Source organism: Homo sapiens, chromosome 5, assembly GCF_000001405.40.
Source record: "Homo sapiens chromosome 5, GRCh38.p14 Primary Assembly".
NCBI classification, from domain to species: Eukaryota; Metazoa; Chordata; class Mammalia; order Primates; family Hominidae; genus Homo; species Homo sapiens.
In genome coordinates this window covers 73,802,384-73,820,464 of record NC_000005.10, presented here as the reverse complement: position 1 = coordinate 73,820,464, position 18,081 = coordinate 73,802,384, and the positions used below count along the sequence as shown (strand labels likewise).

General features: G+C 38.3%; 1 protein-coding gene and 1 pseudogene across 5 annotated transcripts in view; one reads left to right on the top strand and one right to left on the bottom strand.

Annotated features, from left to right (window-relative positions):
* The window catches only part of ARHGEF28 (Rho guanine nucleotide exchange factor 28), a 315,795-nt gene that overhangs the window by 121,526 nt on the left and 176,188 nt on the right, over positions 1-18,081 (bottom strand). Inside the window, exon 1 of one of the 5 annotated variants that reach the window (NM_001244364.2) lies at positions 6,792-6,919. The exons of the other annotated variants lie outside the window; for them this stretch is intronic. Within the exon in view, the coding sequence (NP_001231293.1) occupies positions 6,792-6,876 (85 nt within the window). The 5' untranslated portion in view covers positions 6,877-6,919. Of the gene's footprint in view, positions 1-6,791; positions 6,920-18,081 lie in introns of those variants that run through there. 5 annotated transcript variants of the gene reach the window in all.
* Positions 16,864-17,167, top strand: ATP5PFP4 (ATP5PF pseudogene 4; annotated as a pseudogene).

The window sequence follows — 18,081 nt, the reverse complement described above, 5'->3', positions numbered from 1 at the left end:
CAGCAGAACCTAGGAGGACCCAGGAGGTGCAGTGTAGATTGAAGGATTGGGACTTTCCATCCCTCCACCTCCACCCCCCATTAACCTCCACTGTCACCAGGAAATCACATTCAACAACAGCTTGACAAGGAAGAGTAGGAGAGGGAAGAAATTTGAGACACTGAATATTTTACGTAAAGATACCCATCAGTCACCAAAAATGACTATTTACATTATTGTATCAGACCAAGTTTTCTATATTAGGCTAAAATATATCCTTTCCCCTCCCCTGCCCCACTGCCTATAGAGTGGGACCCCATGAAGATGATCAGATCAATTGTAGATAAAGACTATCTGGGTGTAGTGTGGGTAAATTTGTGCCACGAGGCACTTTCAATATTCACTGCCTACTTTCTGGGATCCAAGTGCTGGAGATGTGATAATGGGCTGGCCGCCTTCAAGGAATTCAGTGTCTTAGGGTATAGAGGTTTAATAACAGCTGTGATACAGTAACGAGAGGGCCTTTCCTAAAAACGTACGCAAGGCAGAGTGACACAGGAGATACAATGCTGAACCCCAAGGGAATTCAGAGAATGCCTCCTGGTAAAAAGTACACTCAAGCTGCATCTTAAACAGCAAGTTGGAGATTAATAGTTAAAAGTGGGAGAAATATTTACCTGACTTTGCTAAAACAAAAATAAAAGAGGGAGGGAGGGAGATGTATGGAAGGCATGTGAGGGTGGCTCACAAAACTAAAAGAATTAAGCATCCAAGCCTTGAGAGGCAGGAACCTGGGCAACAACAAGGGCCCAGAACACAGGCAGGACCCTCTCACTCATCTACTTCTCTTTACATGTTTGCAGTATTTCCTCCTACTACAGGCTGGTTTCTTCCAGCTAACGGTTTTCACTCCAATCTATCCAGCATTGCCACCCAAGAAAGAAGACACTGCCATCCAAGAAAGAAGACATCACCCACCAACCTCCAGTTTGAATAATCCCAAGGAAGGATTCCGATTGGCTATGCTTAAATCATGTGCCCAACCCAGGCCAATCATTGTGACCCAGGCAGGAGGATTGCTGTGATCAGCCTAGTCTGGGTGGGGTTCCCATCCCACTGCACTCAGCAAGGCAAAGTTATGTGAGAAGTTGGCAGCGTCATTTGGACCTATGGCCAGAGTAATGGAGGGACCACCTCCTAAAGAGCAAAGGGAAGAAACGTACTAAGCACGCAAAACTAACCATCCAGGCCAGCGCAACATTTGGCACCTCTCTGCATTTCTGTATCGCCATGAATCAACAGGCCACAAGGCTAGGCTATTTTCTATCACTTTGATACATTCTCTGTATATCTGACTCTGTCCATTTGCTTAGAAGGAACATCCTGCCATTAAAACCCCATCAAGCTCACCACAGGCTTACAGGCTATTGAAATGACATTCTTTTTATGATACCCCCAACTTGAACTATCCTCTTTGCCTTGAACTTTGACAGTAATTTTTCCTGATCTCTCCTATGGGACTTAATCACTTTCTACCTTACGTAATTAATGTATCAGAATAAATAATCATTTGTCCTTCCCTAAAACTAGAAGTGATGGAGAGGAGTCCCCTGAACAAGAATATAGTAAATTATAATACTATCTCCCTTCCACCTGCAGAGATTAATGGAGAATGATACCTTGTCCAAGAATTTGAGCAGCCAAAAATAAAGAAAAATTTACTTTCAAAAATTTGGCAAAGTATTTGTTTAACTAAAGGGAGCTTTGAGGGTATGCAACTATGTTGTTTGGCAAAGAGTTTGTAATGGGCCTCCTCTACTCTGCTGACAATGGTAGTAGGCCTCTAGGCAGAGTCTGGAATTGAAACTGCTCTGTATGAGGTTAAACACTCCCTTCATTGAGAGCCAAAGAAATCTTAGCAGGTTATGTCACCTTTAGAAAAATGTTTCCCTTCCTTAATAAGGATTTCTCTAGTGACTTACTCATCCTATGGTATTCAGCTATCATTTGGGGAGTTTTTAGACTGAATACTCACTTGCATATCCACATGCATGTGTACATCTGATGAAACTTGACAAAAGGGAGGAAGGGAAAGAAAAAAAGACAAATAAGCCCATGAGATAAAAGTATCTCACCTTTAAAAATCATTAACATTTCTAAAATGCCATCATACCTCTGCCTACTTACTGTGTCAAGGATTATTTTTTCAGATTAGGTACCTGCCCTGTAAACATTAAATGAGCTCATGAAATAGTCCAAAACAATGGTCTCAGGGTCTTAGGTCTCCATTCCCCGCATGCCTAATCTCTCTAACTGTATCTTTTTGTCCGGGACAAACCTGTAAACTTTCCAGGCCACAGTGGAAAGCACTCCCAGCCCCCTCTTTTCCCAATTTATCCTCTGTCTTCCTCTCCTAAGCCAACCACCCTGTGCTCCAGATGTCTGTGCATCTGTTCCCAATCCCAATCCAATGATGTGTTTAAGTACTATATCTGTGTATAGGAGGAAGGTATCAAGATGCACAAACAACCCTACCATCTTGCTCCTCCAGAGTCTCTCCCTGTCACTTCTCCTCCTAGTAAAGATACACAGAGGAGAGGGAGAAGCTAAGATGGGGAGGCACAATGGCACCTTTTGAACCCAAGGTAGCTACCCATTGAAGTTTACCATCCCTTACCGCTACTAAGAGGTGGTGAAACATACCAGGAAGGACACTCTCGAGTGTCCTGGTTCTTGGCCTGGCTCTGCCATTTATTAGCTCTAATTTGTGGCAACTCATTTCTCCTCTCTGAGCCTTGGAGACCCCAACTAATAAATGAAGATGACAATCACATCTAACATACAGGTCTTCTACAAGACAACATGTGCAAAAACCACATTATTCATATGTCATTCTTTCATCCCTTCTCCTTCTTTATTCTACCATGGTTACTGTTCCCTGTGTTTCCTGGTATGACTTTGGGAATAACTGTAAAACTCAGCCTCAGTTTCTTCACCTATAAAACAGAGACAATATCTGTACTGCAGAGTTATTTTGGGACTCAGATATCATAGATGTAAAGCATGTACTATAGCTTAGTAAAGAGTAGTTATGATTAATAGGGTACCATATAAATATTAGTTATTTTCATTATGATTAGAGAAAATATGGTGCTATCTAAGCTCTCCAAGGTTGTCAAGCTTTCTGGTATGCATTGCCTTCTTTGGCAATTGTAGCCTGGTTTTGCACCAGCAAAAAGAAAACAAATGTTCACACTATGTGTCACTGGAAAGGCAGCATATGATATGAGCTGGGGAAGGAGAGAACGAGGGAAGTTGCACAAGTGGATAAAAGGCATAAAGGAATAAACATTTCAACATTTCCTGGGGCCTAATGATTTATACTAAAGTATGCATTTTAAAGATTGAATGACAATTATGAGAACCTTGGGTAAAGCCTAATTCCTGTATTTTTCAATCGTTGATTAATAAGCAATACATTTCTTGATTGAATCTCCTATTTAAAAAAAACAAAAACAAAACAAAACAAAAAAACAGAAAATCAGGCATTCCTGGAGCCCTTGAAGTGGAACAGTAATGGATTCTGGCCCACTCCAATCATTAACTGCTGGGCCGCTAGTATGGCCTGTCCTGGGGCTGCCTATGCAAGGAACAAGCCAACTTTTGCAGACCCTAGGAGTACATCTTGGGCAGCCTGGTTTTAACTGCTTTCATCATGCTCCGCTCTGGACATGGGTCATTTCCAAAGGCACTGCTTCTAAGTCACATCCTCTTACCTTCCCGCTGAAGGCATAAGGATAAGAAAGTACTAGATATACTTTTGAATTGAAATATGGTATTAGCGAGTTTCTGCTAATGTTATTTTCCTCTTGTTACCAAATCCTTGCTCTAAATTTTCACATCACTCCCTCCACAAGCCAGTAACATATATGTGTTCAGGACAAGGAAAGAGCAAGAGAGCATATCAGACATTATTTCTGACCTAACTCAAGAGAGGTTTGCCAACAAGCCAGTAATTCCAAGCTCTCAAAGCCACTTTCATGATTTCTCAGGTGACTTGAACCTACATATGAGAATGATGTTGGTGGTGATTAGAAGGAAGGGAAGAATGATTAAGAAATTCAAGCCACCTCAGTTTTAAAGACTGACAAAAATACTTATGATATCCTGTAAGCGACAAGAGACTACAGTTCACAAACTGGCCATCAGGATAAAAAACCAAGTCCCTTATATTTCTCCCACTATATGGAGGGGGCATGTCTGGGTCCTGGGAGATGGGTCCCCATGTTAAGATCCCTGTAAGCAGAGACAGCATCTGTGAGGGTCATTACTTCACCATACCCTCAAGAACAGTGCCTGGCACCCCCCACCCCAGATGTTTGTTGAACATATGAATAACACCCCCTCATCTGTCAAATGAGGGAATTGGACCAGATCATCTCTAAGGCCCTTTAGGCTCTAAGGATCTGTGATGCTGGGACTCTGTCCAGCTCGCATTACAGCATGACCAAACCCGCTCTTCATAACTAAATCACCATGATTTAATAAAGAACGCAAGTGTGAAACATGGTCTAACAATCCCCACCTCTCTGCTACCAACCTTATTTTCACTCATCTTTTATCAGTGGCAAATAGTTAATCATCTCCATATCCCAGGTACCTGCTTTCACTTGAGTCATGTTTAATTTATACATAGCTATGCTATGACTTTCTGTTGCAGCTCGTACTGGCCATGCTTCAACTTTGGATTTAAAAGGAGAGCATGATAAATGCATTCCCTACAACTCCAATGGATTCTCAAAGTTCTCCACTGGCCTCCTCATCATTAATCCCATGTCTCTCCAGTGTTGGGCTGCCCAGGCCCCAACAACACTGGGCCACATAAATACAAAACTAAATAAAGCAGATTACAACCCAAATTTAACTGGGTTAGAATTGACACAGAGATTTGGTAGACTCTACAGAACGGTACCTATCCTCAAGAAGCTCTCAATATACCAGAACTGATAATATTCACTCCAAAGTAATAATGACTTTGTGTATCTCCTCCCTCAAAAACAATTTACATGGTTTTTTATTTACTATTCAGGAATAATTTCAAACTTACAGAAAAGCTCAAGGATATCCACTATTTTTTTTAAAAAAGCTGAAAGAATAACAGCAGCACAAAAAAATAGCAATATATACTATTTACCCAGATTTACATATTGTTAACATTTGACTGCATTTTCTATTTGTGTACGAGCTTGTTTTTATAAGCGCATGCTTGTGCTCATATATATATATATATATATACCCCCTGAATCATTTAACAGTAAGTTACATATATCATGGCCTTTTAATATACGACTGTATCCACCAAAGATACACAGGCTTTCGTGTTGAAATTTTTTTCAGTCTGTTCCTTATAACATCTATAAAATCAATAAAATAGAAAAATCAATTTTCTTAGATAAAAAGTAAAATTAATCTTTAAAACATTAATTTTAATGTCTTAAAATTGTATATTGAATATAAGCTATTAAAGTCTTCAATGATAGAATTTAAAGGATGGCAGCTGAGCAACATGAAAAATGTGTTCAGGCTGAGTCTTTCTACTAGCCCTAGACGGTAAATGCATCTTATTCCTGGGGTTGGCCTTGATCTAAGCTAAAGAGCAAACAAGCCAAATAAACACTTCTATTGTATTTCAGAAGGAAGAAAGAAGATGCTTGAAGCTAAGCTGGTTTGCTGACAACTGCTAGCGTCCATCCTCCTCTGGGAGAAGCACAGGGTGACAGGGTAAGCCATCCTGCTCCCTAGAACAGGTATGCTCCCGAAGGACAGCACTGCAGAGGCAACCCGCTTAGAAACACCTTTTCTGCTTGTAAGCTTATGAAAATGTTCCTTTTCTCCTTGAATTGAAAACATAAGCACACGCGTCCCTGCACAAGACAAGAACGGGGAAGGATTACACACTATCTTATTTTTTTAAACCTCAGAAGGCAACAATCACTGCCAGCTAAGCCCAGCCGAGGATGGGATAACAGCTTCTCAGGGCACTTCCTCTACACCCTAACACCAGCTTGCTCCTTGTTTCCATGGCCCACACTACAACAAGAATGGATTGCAAGTAAGAGAGAATAAGTAATGTAAACCCATTCCATTATCAATCACGCTCAGATAAATGGCTCTTCTTCCTTCAGCAGTAAAGGATTTTACTTACTTGATCATTATTTTTAGTAAACTATTTACAATGTGACTGTATTCTCTGAAGATACACAGGCTTTTGTGTTGAAAGTATTTTTTTCAACTCCTTTCCTTATAACATCTATAAAATCAATAAAATAGTATAAAATAGAAAAATTTTCTTAATTACAAAAATTTTTTTAAATTACTATACACTTGAAAACTAAAACAAAAGATGCAGAAGCTGGGTATGAAACACATGCGTATTCTCTGCAAATCCCACTAAGACTGAACATGTTTAAATCAACAGGACTGTTTATTGCCAAGGTAACTCCAAGGTAATTCTGAAGAAGTGAATCCAAAACATTTACCTTATACTAAACTCCCTTCTTTTTTTTTTTTTTTTTAAAGAGAATTGCACATACATAATAACACCAAGGTAGGTAGATTCAAAGTGAAAGGAACATAAGAAGAATTAGTAGGTTTGCCTCAGAAACCTATATGTATCTGTACAGTGAGTGTTTTATAAAGGCACGTATAAACACGCGCTACATTGGAAAAACAGTCTGGCAAAGAAACACGGAAAAGAAAGAATAGGATGTCTGGTTTTGCCCGTGAAGGAAAGAAAAGATACTGCAATCTACCTTGTTTGGACGTCCTTCTTCGAATCTTCATTTTGGGAAAGGAAGGCCACGAGTAGTTAAAAGGTGAGTCGGAGTCAGAATCCATCTTTTTGTTTTGGTGAAATCAACAGATGAAACAGTAGAGACTCAGGAAGAACTCGGGGCGTCCCCAGCCAGGAGGCAAGCCTCCCCATGTGATGTAAAGGGAAGGAATGAGATTGGATGAAATAGCTCCTGCACACCAGGGAGGGAAAGGCAATAAATGTTTTGCTTCCTTCGGGCATTCAGGCGTGTAGACCGACAAGGAGGCTGTAAATATTAAAGCCAAACTAGGGAAGTAAAGGAGGGAGAAGTGGGGGAGCTAAGAGTGGCTGAAACACTGCAGTCCACTTATTCAAAAGGTCATTGGGAGCAAATGAATCATTAACTCCCCTCTTCTGGTTGCTGGAAATGGAAATGAAGGAGGAAGGTAACTGGGAATTGAAAGAGAGCTGCCTGTGATTCAAGAAAAGCCTCCCAGTGCAGGCTTGTTTTGCTCGGAGTGAGAATATTGCTTCTCAGAAGAGCTACCCGGTGCCGTGTTAGATAAAGGTTGAGGTTTATGTGTGTGGACAGCCAGAAAGCTTGATCCCCAGGCAAATGAAGGCCAGCAGACTCCAGGAAGAGCTCTTTCCAGAGCAGACTATTCTTTCATACCATTGGCAGCTTGGGCAGCTTTTCGGATCTAAGAACCAAAACAGCTCTCATAATTCATTTAACAATCCAGTCTCACCGCCCTTTTAATCCTAATGTGGTTGGAAGTTTTAACTTTTATATAGATTGTACTCATTTCATTAGATTTATACAAAGTTATCTACCACTGTTTAGCACAATTGGGGTATTTCCATATTGGTACTGTCACCAAGTCTGGCCGTCAATCATCAGGATTTTGGTGCCTTTATAGCTCCGATCTAAACTTTCAGTCCACCTCAATAGAGCTGGTGACTAATTTACCACAAACCAACAGTTCTTGCCGTCTCCCTGAACAATTCTCCAGTAATTAGCATTCAGGAGAAGCTCATTACTGCCTCCCCATAAATCGTGGCACTGCTCAGGCTCACTTCTCCGCTTCCTATAGGCACATAGATATCCATGCCCCAAATAAGCTCAAGCACAACAGCCGAGATCTGCAGTGGAAAAAAAGGATATCCCAAATGTTATCAGGCAGTCTCTTTTAAGCATTTCTTTTAGTAGAAACAATAGCAAGAAATGTTTGTTTTGTTTTGTGAGGTCACCTGATGTCCAAATAAACTAAACGACATTGGAAACATACAATATGAGGATCCATTAAGTCTGCAGACTTAGAAGGTGACAGTATGTGTCTTAATTAACATTCATTTCTTTGCTTCAGTTATTTCCTAAATTGTCGGTACTACTGTGCCACGCTGTGTAAGAAAATAGCTGCATAGCCTGCTCCATGGAAGCTAATCCTGTCTGATTGGGTAGGGGTTGAGTGAGGCATACAGGGAGAAGAGGAGAAAGGGGAGAGACCACTTAATTTCAAATTTAAATCAAAATCAGAATTACATAAATCACTACTGTGTTTTTATATAGTTTGTCACATAAACATACAACTAAAACAAAATACAACTAGAGTATAGTTACAAACATTGCAACTAAGTGGAAAGAAATACTGATACATTTTCTATTTTGTGGCTTTTTTTTTTTTTTTTTTGAGACAGGCTCACTCTGTCGCCTAGGCTGGAGTACAGTGGCAGGATCTCGGCTCATTGCAACCTCTGCCTCCTGGGTTCAAGCAATTCTCCTGCCTCAGCCTCCTGAGTAGTTGCGTCTACAGGCATGCACCACCACACCCGGCTAATTTTTGTATTTTTAGTAGAGATGTGTTATTTCTACGTCAGCCAGGCTGGTCTCGAACTCCTGACCTCACGTGATCCACCCACCTTGGCCTCCCAAAGTGCTGATTACAGGCGTGAGCCACCATGCCAAGCCTGTGGCTTTTAATTAGGTGAATAAGTACGTATTATTCTCAACCAGCTGGGTATAATTATAAGGATATGTAACTTTCAGCCCTTATATCCAGTAAAAGAGTTTTAGTCCATATGGATCTTTAATTAGAAAATATACCAAATCTTGTGGAAGAGCATTTACATTCACTCTTGATTTTAGAGCACAGAATGGTGCCTAGGACGCTGTAGGCAATTGCTGAAAGAATGAATGATTTACAATAGTCGGTCTGCCATGTCAATGACCTTTACCCTGTGGATGAAGAACCTTTACATGACAACTGATTAAAAACACATATTTTGACAAAAACATCTACAAGAACTATTATAAAGTGTTTAAAATATATATTTGTATTTTATTTAGCACAACAGTTGTAAAAAGGACAGTACTTCTGGGTAGAGAAAACCCATTGTTCTGAGGCTGCAGACAATGATGGGAGTGTGCATAGGTCTATGGCCTTTTGGCTGCTTCTAAGTTGTCTGTAGACCAAGGAAAGGGGACCTTCACTAGTGTGGACAATCACCAAACCAAAATAGTGTTGGATCAGGAGATACTGTTATTTTTCTTCAGCTCTACTTGCTACCATTAAAGAATCCTTTGAAATGCAAAATTTCCAAGGCGGTTAGAAATACTAAAGTCCTCATCCTGAATTGGTAGGAGTGGGTTTTGTAGCTCCTTGCTACACATGCTAAACCTCTACTATACCATCCCCTTAACTAAAGGTATAGGAATACTATACTTCTTACAGTTGACTGATGCTATGGGAAAGAGAAAGACATGTTTCTTATTAAATTACAAACAGAACAAAAGTAATACAATCTATAGGGGCTCCCTAACTTGTTTTATTAAGTTGGTCAGAAATGTGACAAAGCGTTCAGAAGACTACAAATGTAGAGAAAGCAGAATCGGGGGCAGAATTTCTCAGAGGCATCAGAATGGAGGAAGGGGCCTGAGGGAAAACTGTTCATTTTAAATGCAGATTATGAGATTCCCATCCCAGATGTGTTGAATCAATCTCTCTGAGGGTGGCCCAGGAATCTGCAATAATTTACAACAAGCACCACCCCTATGCCAAGCAATTCTCATGCCTATTGAAGTTTTAGAGTCACTCAACTAGGAGGTAGATAAACCCCACATCAGCAAGTTACTGGAATAGGCTGTTCCTCCCGTGACTACCAGTGACAGGTCAGAAGAACTTCAGGGCAATATAGACAAAGAGAGAGATGAAAAAAACTGCATAAAAAGTATTTCTATTAGCTGAGATTCCAGACAGATTCATCCTAATCTTATTCTTCCAAATGCAGTCCTTGTTGACCAGTTACATATCAAGTGATTCTTGATGTCAAAATTATTCTGAAACAGTATTGAACGACCTAACCAATACATGTGAGACACCCAACTGACATATGTGAAAATAACTCAGATATCAAAAGAAGAGACTTTCCAATGTACTCATTTGCTTTACCATTTATCAGTGTTTTCTAAAGAATAAAATGATTTCTACTGACTAGCCATGAACAGTTAACATACAACTAGAAAGTGAAGTCAAAAATAGTGTTTGCACAGCCCTTTTTATTTTTAGGCCAGCTTACCTCCTTGCTCACCAACACGTTTCTTCTGAATGTGGATCATTTATCCTCCTTGTTTTCTATAGTAATTGAAGTGGGTTTTTTTTCTGTAGTTTATCAATATAATTGCATTTAAATTAATTCAAGATGCTATTTACATCTCATTCATATTCAACAGGTGACTGTTACTGGCTGATTGTAATTGCAGACAGCAGAATTCAATGATATATCCCCCAGGCCACCCTTTCACCATATATCATACAACCATTACCATGTAAGAGTATGAATGCTTTCATGGAAGATACATTCGCCTGAATGTGCCTCCTTTAATTACAAAATTCTTCACCTAGAAAAGAACTTCCATGAGGTTATAATTATTCAGAGAAGATACTGCTGCCTTGAAGTTTCAGCTTTCTAAAAGACCCACACAGAAAGGAAACTTTCCTTGATCTTCATTTAGACATTAACCTGCCTTTCAACCTTGTAAATCTCAAAGAAGTATTTACATTTTGATCTGAATTACAGTATTTGCACAGTTTTCTCATCCTCCAGGGGGACCCAAAATTTTTTGTGGGCAAGAACTGTGTCTTACATTTTTAGTGCACCACAAGCTAAAAAGAAAAATCATGGGTTTGGGAGACACAGATATCCGGGTTCAAATAATGGCTCCGTCAGTTAGTGGCCCTAACCAAGTCATTCCCATTTTCTGAGCCTTAGTTGTCTCATAGCGAATGGAATCATATCTATACTTTAAAGGGTTATTGTGAGGATCCAGTGAGATTATAACAGTGAAGAACTTAACAGAAGTAAATTTTCAACAAGCTTTAAATGTTGAATGTAAATAAAATTTCCCTTTCATATATTATTCTTCTGTTATAGACACTGAAACAGTTTTTTGTGTTTTGTTTTTTTTTTGAGACAGAGTCTTGCTCTATCACCCAGGCTGGAGTGCAGTCACATGATCTTGGCTCACTACTACTTCCGCCATCCAGGCTCCAGTGATTCTCCTGTCTCCTCAGCTTCCCAAGTAGCTGGGATTACAAAACATGCACCATGGCCAGGCTGGTCTTGAATTCATGACCTCAAGTGATCTGCCTGCCACGGCCCACCAAAGTGCTGGGATTACAGGCATAAGCCATGGTTCCCAGCCACTGAAATAGTCTCACTTTGACCCTGAGGAGTAATCATTTGATTTTTAAAACTGAGACATGGCAATGTGCAAGGAAGTTCCAAGAAAACTATACCAAGACAGAAACAGCAGGAGGAGGAGAAGAAGGAGGAAGAAGAAGGGAAGGAGCTCAAAGAGGAAGATTTGCTTTGCTTCTCTACTCCACTGTTAAGCCACCAAGACACCACAGTTTTTAATACTACTAGACATTGTTCCTGGAAAGTCATAAAATATCCAGATAAAAGGAGGCAAGGCCTCTGAGGCTAGGATAAGCCTTTCCTGGATAAGCTGAGCCAGTGCAGTGACAACTTAAATATATGCTTCATCATATGCAGCCTTAACTTCTAGCATAAGGTGAAAATCAGGGATGGATAAAGCCTTCCTCAAAATCCCTTAGAAGCCACCATGTCATTTCTCAGCAAGCTCAACACAAACAGTCCTTCTGTGGATCTAACTATGGCCAGGCACCCGGTGAAATGGGTGGCTTTCACAGGGAGGCTATGTTGTACAGAAAATGAAGATCTTTATAAGCTCTTACCCTTGTGCCAAGACGCTGTCACTCTGAGAAGCATGGTAGAAACAGCACATTCACATCTGCAGTGTCCCACTCACTCACGGACTTTATTCTCTCAAAATGAAATGATGGGTACAGCCACCCCGAGGTGTGAATTCTGATTTTCCTCCCTACCTCCCCCAACCCCCAGCACTTTTTATTTTTTACAGAGCCCATAAAATTGAATTCACATAAAATAGACATGAATCGGGAGCATGGTACAACCACTGTTGTCAAAAATTGGAATCACATGATGCCACTGTCCATAATACCATCTTGCTTAAAACAAAATGTTTGAATTTCTTATCTGCCATTATTACCTTTATTTATTTGAACAAAAACATTTATGTGCACCTGCAGAGGTTCTGATATGGTCTTTACATCCCCTATTCTCTAAGAGGAAAAAAATGAATATCACCTAGAAGCCCAGCTAGAAGAAGTTACTGATATATGATATGTGTCTACATATAATAAGAAAACAAGAAAATACTCAAAACACCTCAGGGCAGGAAAATAGTAATAATTATAATCTATTATTAATAAATATAAATATTAAAATATTAATGATAGATTTCCTGACTGAAGCAACACATGTTAAAGAATTATATTGTTGAGCCAGACGTGGTGGCTCATGCCTGTAATCCCAGAACTTTGGAAGGCTGAGGCGGGTGGATTGCCTGAGGTCAGGAGTTCGAGACCAGCCTGGCCTACTTAGTGAAACCCCATCTCTACTAAAAATACAAAAAATTAGCTGGGCATGGTGGCAGGTGCCTGTAATCCCAGCTACTATGGAGGCTGAGGCAGGAGAATCACTTGAACCTGGGAGGTGGAAGTTGCAGTGATCTGAGATCACACCATTGCACTCCAGCCTGGGCAAGAAGAGTGAAACTCCATCTCAAAAAAAAAAAAAAGAATTACATTGTCAAAGCTTCCACCATTTGGTTAATATTGCTACAGATATGTTCTACCTAGATGAATATCTTAAGAAAAATAACAGACAAACAACAGGAAACCTTGATGAAGCTCTTTTTGTTTTAAATGCTGAAGTTTCTGAGCATAACCTGAAATGAAAGAATTAGGAAAAATTTGCTCAGTTGTTCTGAATAATAAATCATATGGAATTTTGGATTTATCTTGCATAGGCAACACAGATAGTGGATGTGAGGGGCCCTGGAGGTGGCAGAAGCAAGAATAAGAGCCCCAAGTCTGGACAGAGCAGGGGTGCAGGGATAGGGAAGTTCCTGGTATAGCCTAAGGAGAAAGAAATCCCTCCTATTAGGAAGAACCCACGGACTTCAGGAGAGCAGCATCCGATAATGTTACATTCCAATTTTCCCAAACCTTCAAAAAAAAAAAAAAAAACCTCTTACATGCCATAGACTTGTTCACAGACTTAATAATTTTAAAATGCAAAGTTTAACTGACTATATTTTATATAGATTTAATATTGTATATATAAAGATTTATATATTGTATATAGATTTTATATTGTTTATATTTAGATTGTATATATATAAATATATACAATATATAGATGTATAGTATATATCGATATATACCATATATACGATATATCGTATATATGGCACATATAGATGTATACGATATATCATATATATGGCACATATAGATGTATACGATATATCGTATATATGGTACATATAGATGTATACGATATATCGTATATATGGTACATATAGATGTATACGATATATCGTATATATGGTACATATAGATGTATACGATATATACTATAGATTGTATATATAGATATATACTATATATAGATAGATGTGTAGTATATATAGATATATACTATATACATACTATATATAGATATATACTATATACATACTATATATAGATATATACTATATACATACTATATATAGATATATACTATATACATACTATATATAGATATATACTATATACATACTATATATAGATATATACTATATACATACTATATATAGTATATATCTATATATCTATATATGTATATATATCTATATATCTATATATAGTATATATAGATAGATAGTATATCTACATAGTATATATATACTCTATAGAGTATATATATACTATATATACTATACTATATATACTATCTATGTATATATATCTATATATACTATATATCGATATATAGTATATATTGATATGTACTATATATCGATATATAGTACATATCGATATATACTATATACAGGTATTGCTATCCACATGTAAATAAGTTAACTATGAGGTAACTATGAGGTAACTATAGTAACTATGAGGTAACTATAGTTAACTATGTAAATAAGTTAACTATTTTATATTGTTATCCACATGTAAATAAGTTAACTATGAGGTATCAAATGAGCAAAGAGTTTAATAAACTGTAATGAGCAAAGAGTTTAACAAATAGTTTAATAAATGTTTAATAAACAAATGAGCAAAGAGTTTAATAAACTATAAATTCCATAGATCTGAAGCTAAAATTCACATAAAATATGATAGATAAAACTCACTTAAAAAGAAAAAACGGGCAGGCTCGTCCTATATATGCTTCTGGGGTGTGGTTCCTTCTAGGCACTCTTAACTGCCAGATCAAGAAAATATATAAATGTATCCTAACCTATGTACATATATCTACAAATATTTCTGTATGCAACCGTGTGTATCTATGTTAACTGAACATGAGTGCATGCTGATATCTACAACTCTAATCTGTTACCACATGGATCACTCTAGCCTCTTCCCCCTGCTTATCTGTAAGCACCCACTCCAACAGGGAGAAACGTGGCAGCTACTAGCCACAATCCATTTACTTATTTGTGCAATACATGTAGAGTGGTATTAAAATTCTTTATCTTTTTGCCTGCGAGAAAAACTGTATCAACCAAAGGACAGTGGTTATTGTAGTTTCTTTTGCCTTTATTCTTATAGACTCCACTCATTTGCAAAGTTAATAGATCTGCACCTCTCTCCACCACACCCAAAATTCCCTTTGGTAAGGTTATTTCTTACATTTTTAATACAGCTAGATTGTTTTGTCACATTCTGCATCCCATCCCCAACCTCAAGGTTTTCTTAAATTTGCATACATTAAGGTTTACTCGGTGCACTCTAATGTTCTGTGGATTTGGATAAAGGCATAGTGTTGTGTACCTACAATTCAAGAATCAAAGAACACCTTTACCACCCTAAAAAAAAGATATATACAATGTTGATGATATGTAAAAAGGATACAAGAGCCAACTAAAAGAGTTCCCAGCTACCAAAACTGGAACACTTTGACAACAAATAAAGTAGTATTTGATTATTACCCAAAGTGCAAAATAAATATCCATGACTCTATACAGGCATACATAAATGATTGAATAAGTAATGGGGGGAACAGACAAATTTCCCATGTAGAAGAATTCCAAATAATTTATGTAGACACCACACCCACAAGTATACAGATTAACTCCTCACTTTTTCCTTATGTGTGGGCTACACATAGTGTGGAAAGGCAGGTGAGGAAGAGTAACTTTACAGTGGAGAAACCAGACCAACACTACCTCAGCCAGGTGATCAAGGTCAATATCAACAGTGACAATGAACATTGATAGTATGTACCTTTTATATGGTGTGATGAAAACAGCACTTTACCTTTGGGTCTTCTTCCCAAAACCCATAATTCTCAGTGTAATGATGAAAAAAAAATCAGAAAAAACCCAATTAAGGGACATTCTACAAAATTCCTGACTAGTATTTATTAACGGCAGCTTGATCCTAATGGGATCCTGGAATAGAAAACGGAAATCAGGTAAAAAGTGAGGAATCGAAATAAAGTATGTAAGCCTATAACTGTTCTTAAAAGATAAATTTATTTAAAAAAATTTTAAAGAATGGGAGCAACAAGTATAGAATCTATATTCACTAAATGTTTGTGGAACCGATGCTAAAACAATGTTTGCATCCACATTCACATATGTAGAATTCAAGTCCTGCATTAAGCTCCATTGATTTTGCTTAAGTTCTTACTTTGTGAAGTTGCCATGTAACTCTGAGGACACTAGTTAAAGTATATTGAAAATAATTCTGATTCACAGGAAAAAAAACAGTGTCTCCATGGGGTTAATAAGATCTCAAGAGTGAACTCCCTGAGAGGTTTCCATTTGGCACCTGTGTGGCAGATGAATCTATCTGTTAGATGGGCTGAAATTTCATTGGCAGACAAATCTCAAGAACCTGGATGAACCTACCTAGCTCATTCCAAGTTTCCTCAAGCTCTGGACACCATCAACTTGACTCTTTCTTTTTTTTTTTTTTTTTTTTTTTTTGACAGGGTCTCACTCTGTCATCCAGGCTGGAGTGCAATGGTGCAACCACTGCTCACTGCAGCCTTGAACTCCTGGGCTCAAGCCATCCTCCCACCTCAGCCTCCTGAATAGCTAGGACCACAGGCATGTACCATGCCCGGCTAATTTTTTAAAATTTTTGTAGAGACAGGGTCTCACTATGTTGCCCAGGTTGGTCTTGAACTTGTGAGCTCAGGTGATCCTCCCACCTTGGCCTCCCAAAGTGCTGGGATTACAGGCGTGAGGCACTGCACCCAGCCCAACTTAACTCTTTATTCTGATTTTCTGTTATTTTAAATATTATGAAGAATCAACAGACTGCTTCCTAGTGGGCCTCCTATTTGACCTCTGATTGTATCACTTCTCCCTATACTTGAGCGACACATCTTCAGTGAAGCCTCATAATGTAAAGAATAGATTCTGACAGCAGTGGCAGAGGTGGTGGCTCAGGCACATAGAGTCCCCATGATTCTTCAGAGGCTCTTCAAGTTCTCCTCTGTCATTCGGTCAGTAGTCTCACTCCCTTTGCAGAAGAACATTGGTGTCACACAGTGGCATTTAACAAGAAACTTGGTCCCATACAGAAACTCTTCGTGGACAACATTAGGGACTACAAATCTAAGCCACAGGCATCTGGAGGACCTGCTGATACTGGCCCAGAGCACCAGCAAGAGTTGGAGAGTAAACTTCTGCTGAAAGCAGACAGGAATATGTTATCTAATTTCAAATGCGAAGATTCTAAATTTGAAACCATCGAAAAACCCCAGTCCTGAAGAAATAAAGTAAAAATTAATCTGGTAATTTGTCATGAATTTGTTGCACAACTAATCAGAAGTATCAGAGTAAGTATACATTTCATAACTGTCAAATGTTCTTTTAATTCTCATTCCAAATCAATTATTTGGTGATGTTGCAGGGGAAAAGGAATAAATTCTGTTGGCTTTCTTGCCCATGCTTCAAGTAAGGAGCCACGTTTCATAAAAATGTTCTTTAAATTAGCCACTCTAAAAGGTAAAGTAAATTGTACCAATAAATTGTTAGAACTTGTGCTGCCTGGCATAAAAGCTAACCAGAATCTTAATTGCCCTAAAGTCCCTTCCAAGGAATTAGCCACTGGATACTCAGTATAAAACAAGCCTACCAACACACACACACACACACACACACACACACACACACACACACACACACACAGCAATCGAGCTTGCTGGCCAATTATCCCTTTGTAAATGTAATTTTTTTTTTTGTAAATGCCTATATACATGGGTATTCTGAAGTGTTTCAACACAAGAAAAGGGGAAGAAATCCCTTAGTGGTATTATTTTAACTTTTTATAAAACAAACTTTATAGATACCATTTCCAGAATATATTTCATATTTTTCACCTGTTTCATGTTTTGTACATTTGTTGTCACTTTCTTAAGAGTTTCTATTTGTTTGAAGTTTATAATCTAATCATTTTATTGAAATATCAAACTAAGGGAGTCTTTAGGAATGGAATACATGAAATCTGCTTAGTCACTAAGCTGGTTTATTTGGGGTCAAGGATCTTATTTTGGAGAAGGAAAATTTAGAGTTCAGAGAAAGTACTGCCATTTTTCCCTCCCTTGTTACACTTCAGAAAGTTGTAAAATGAAAGAAAAAGGTAATTTAGAATGTACTAAAGGTAGGTTAGTACTAA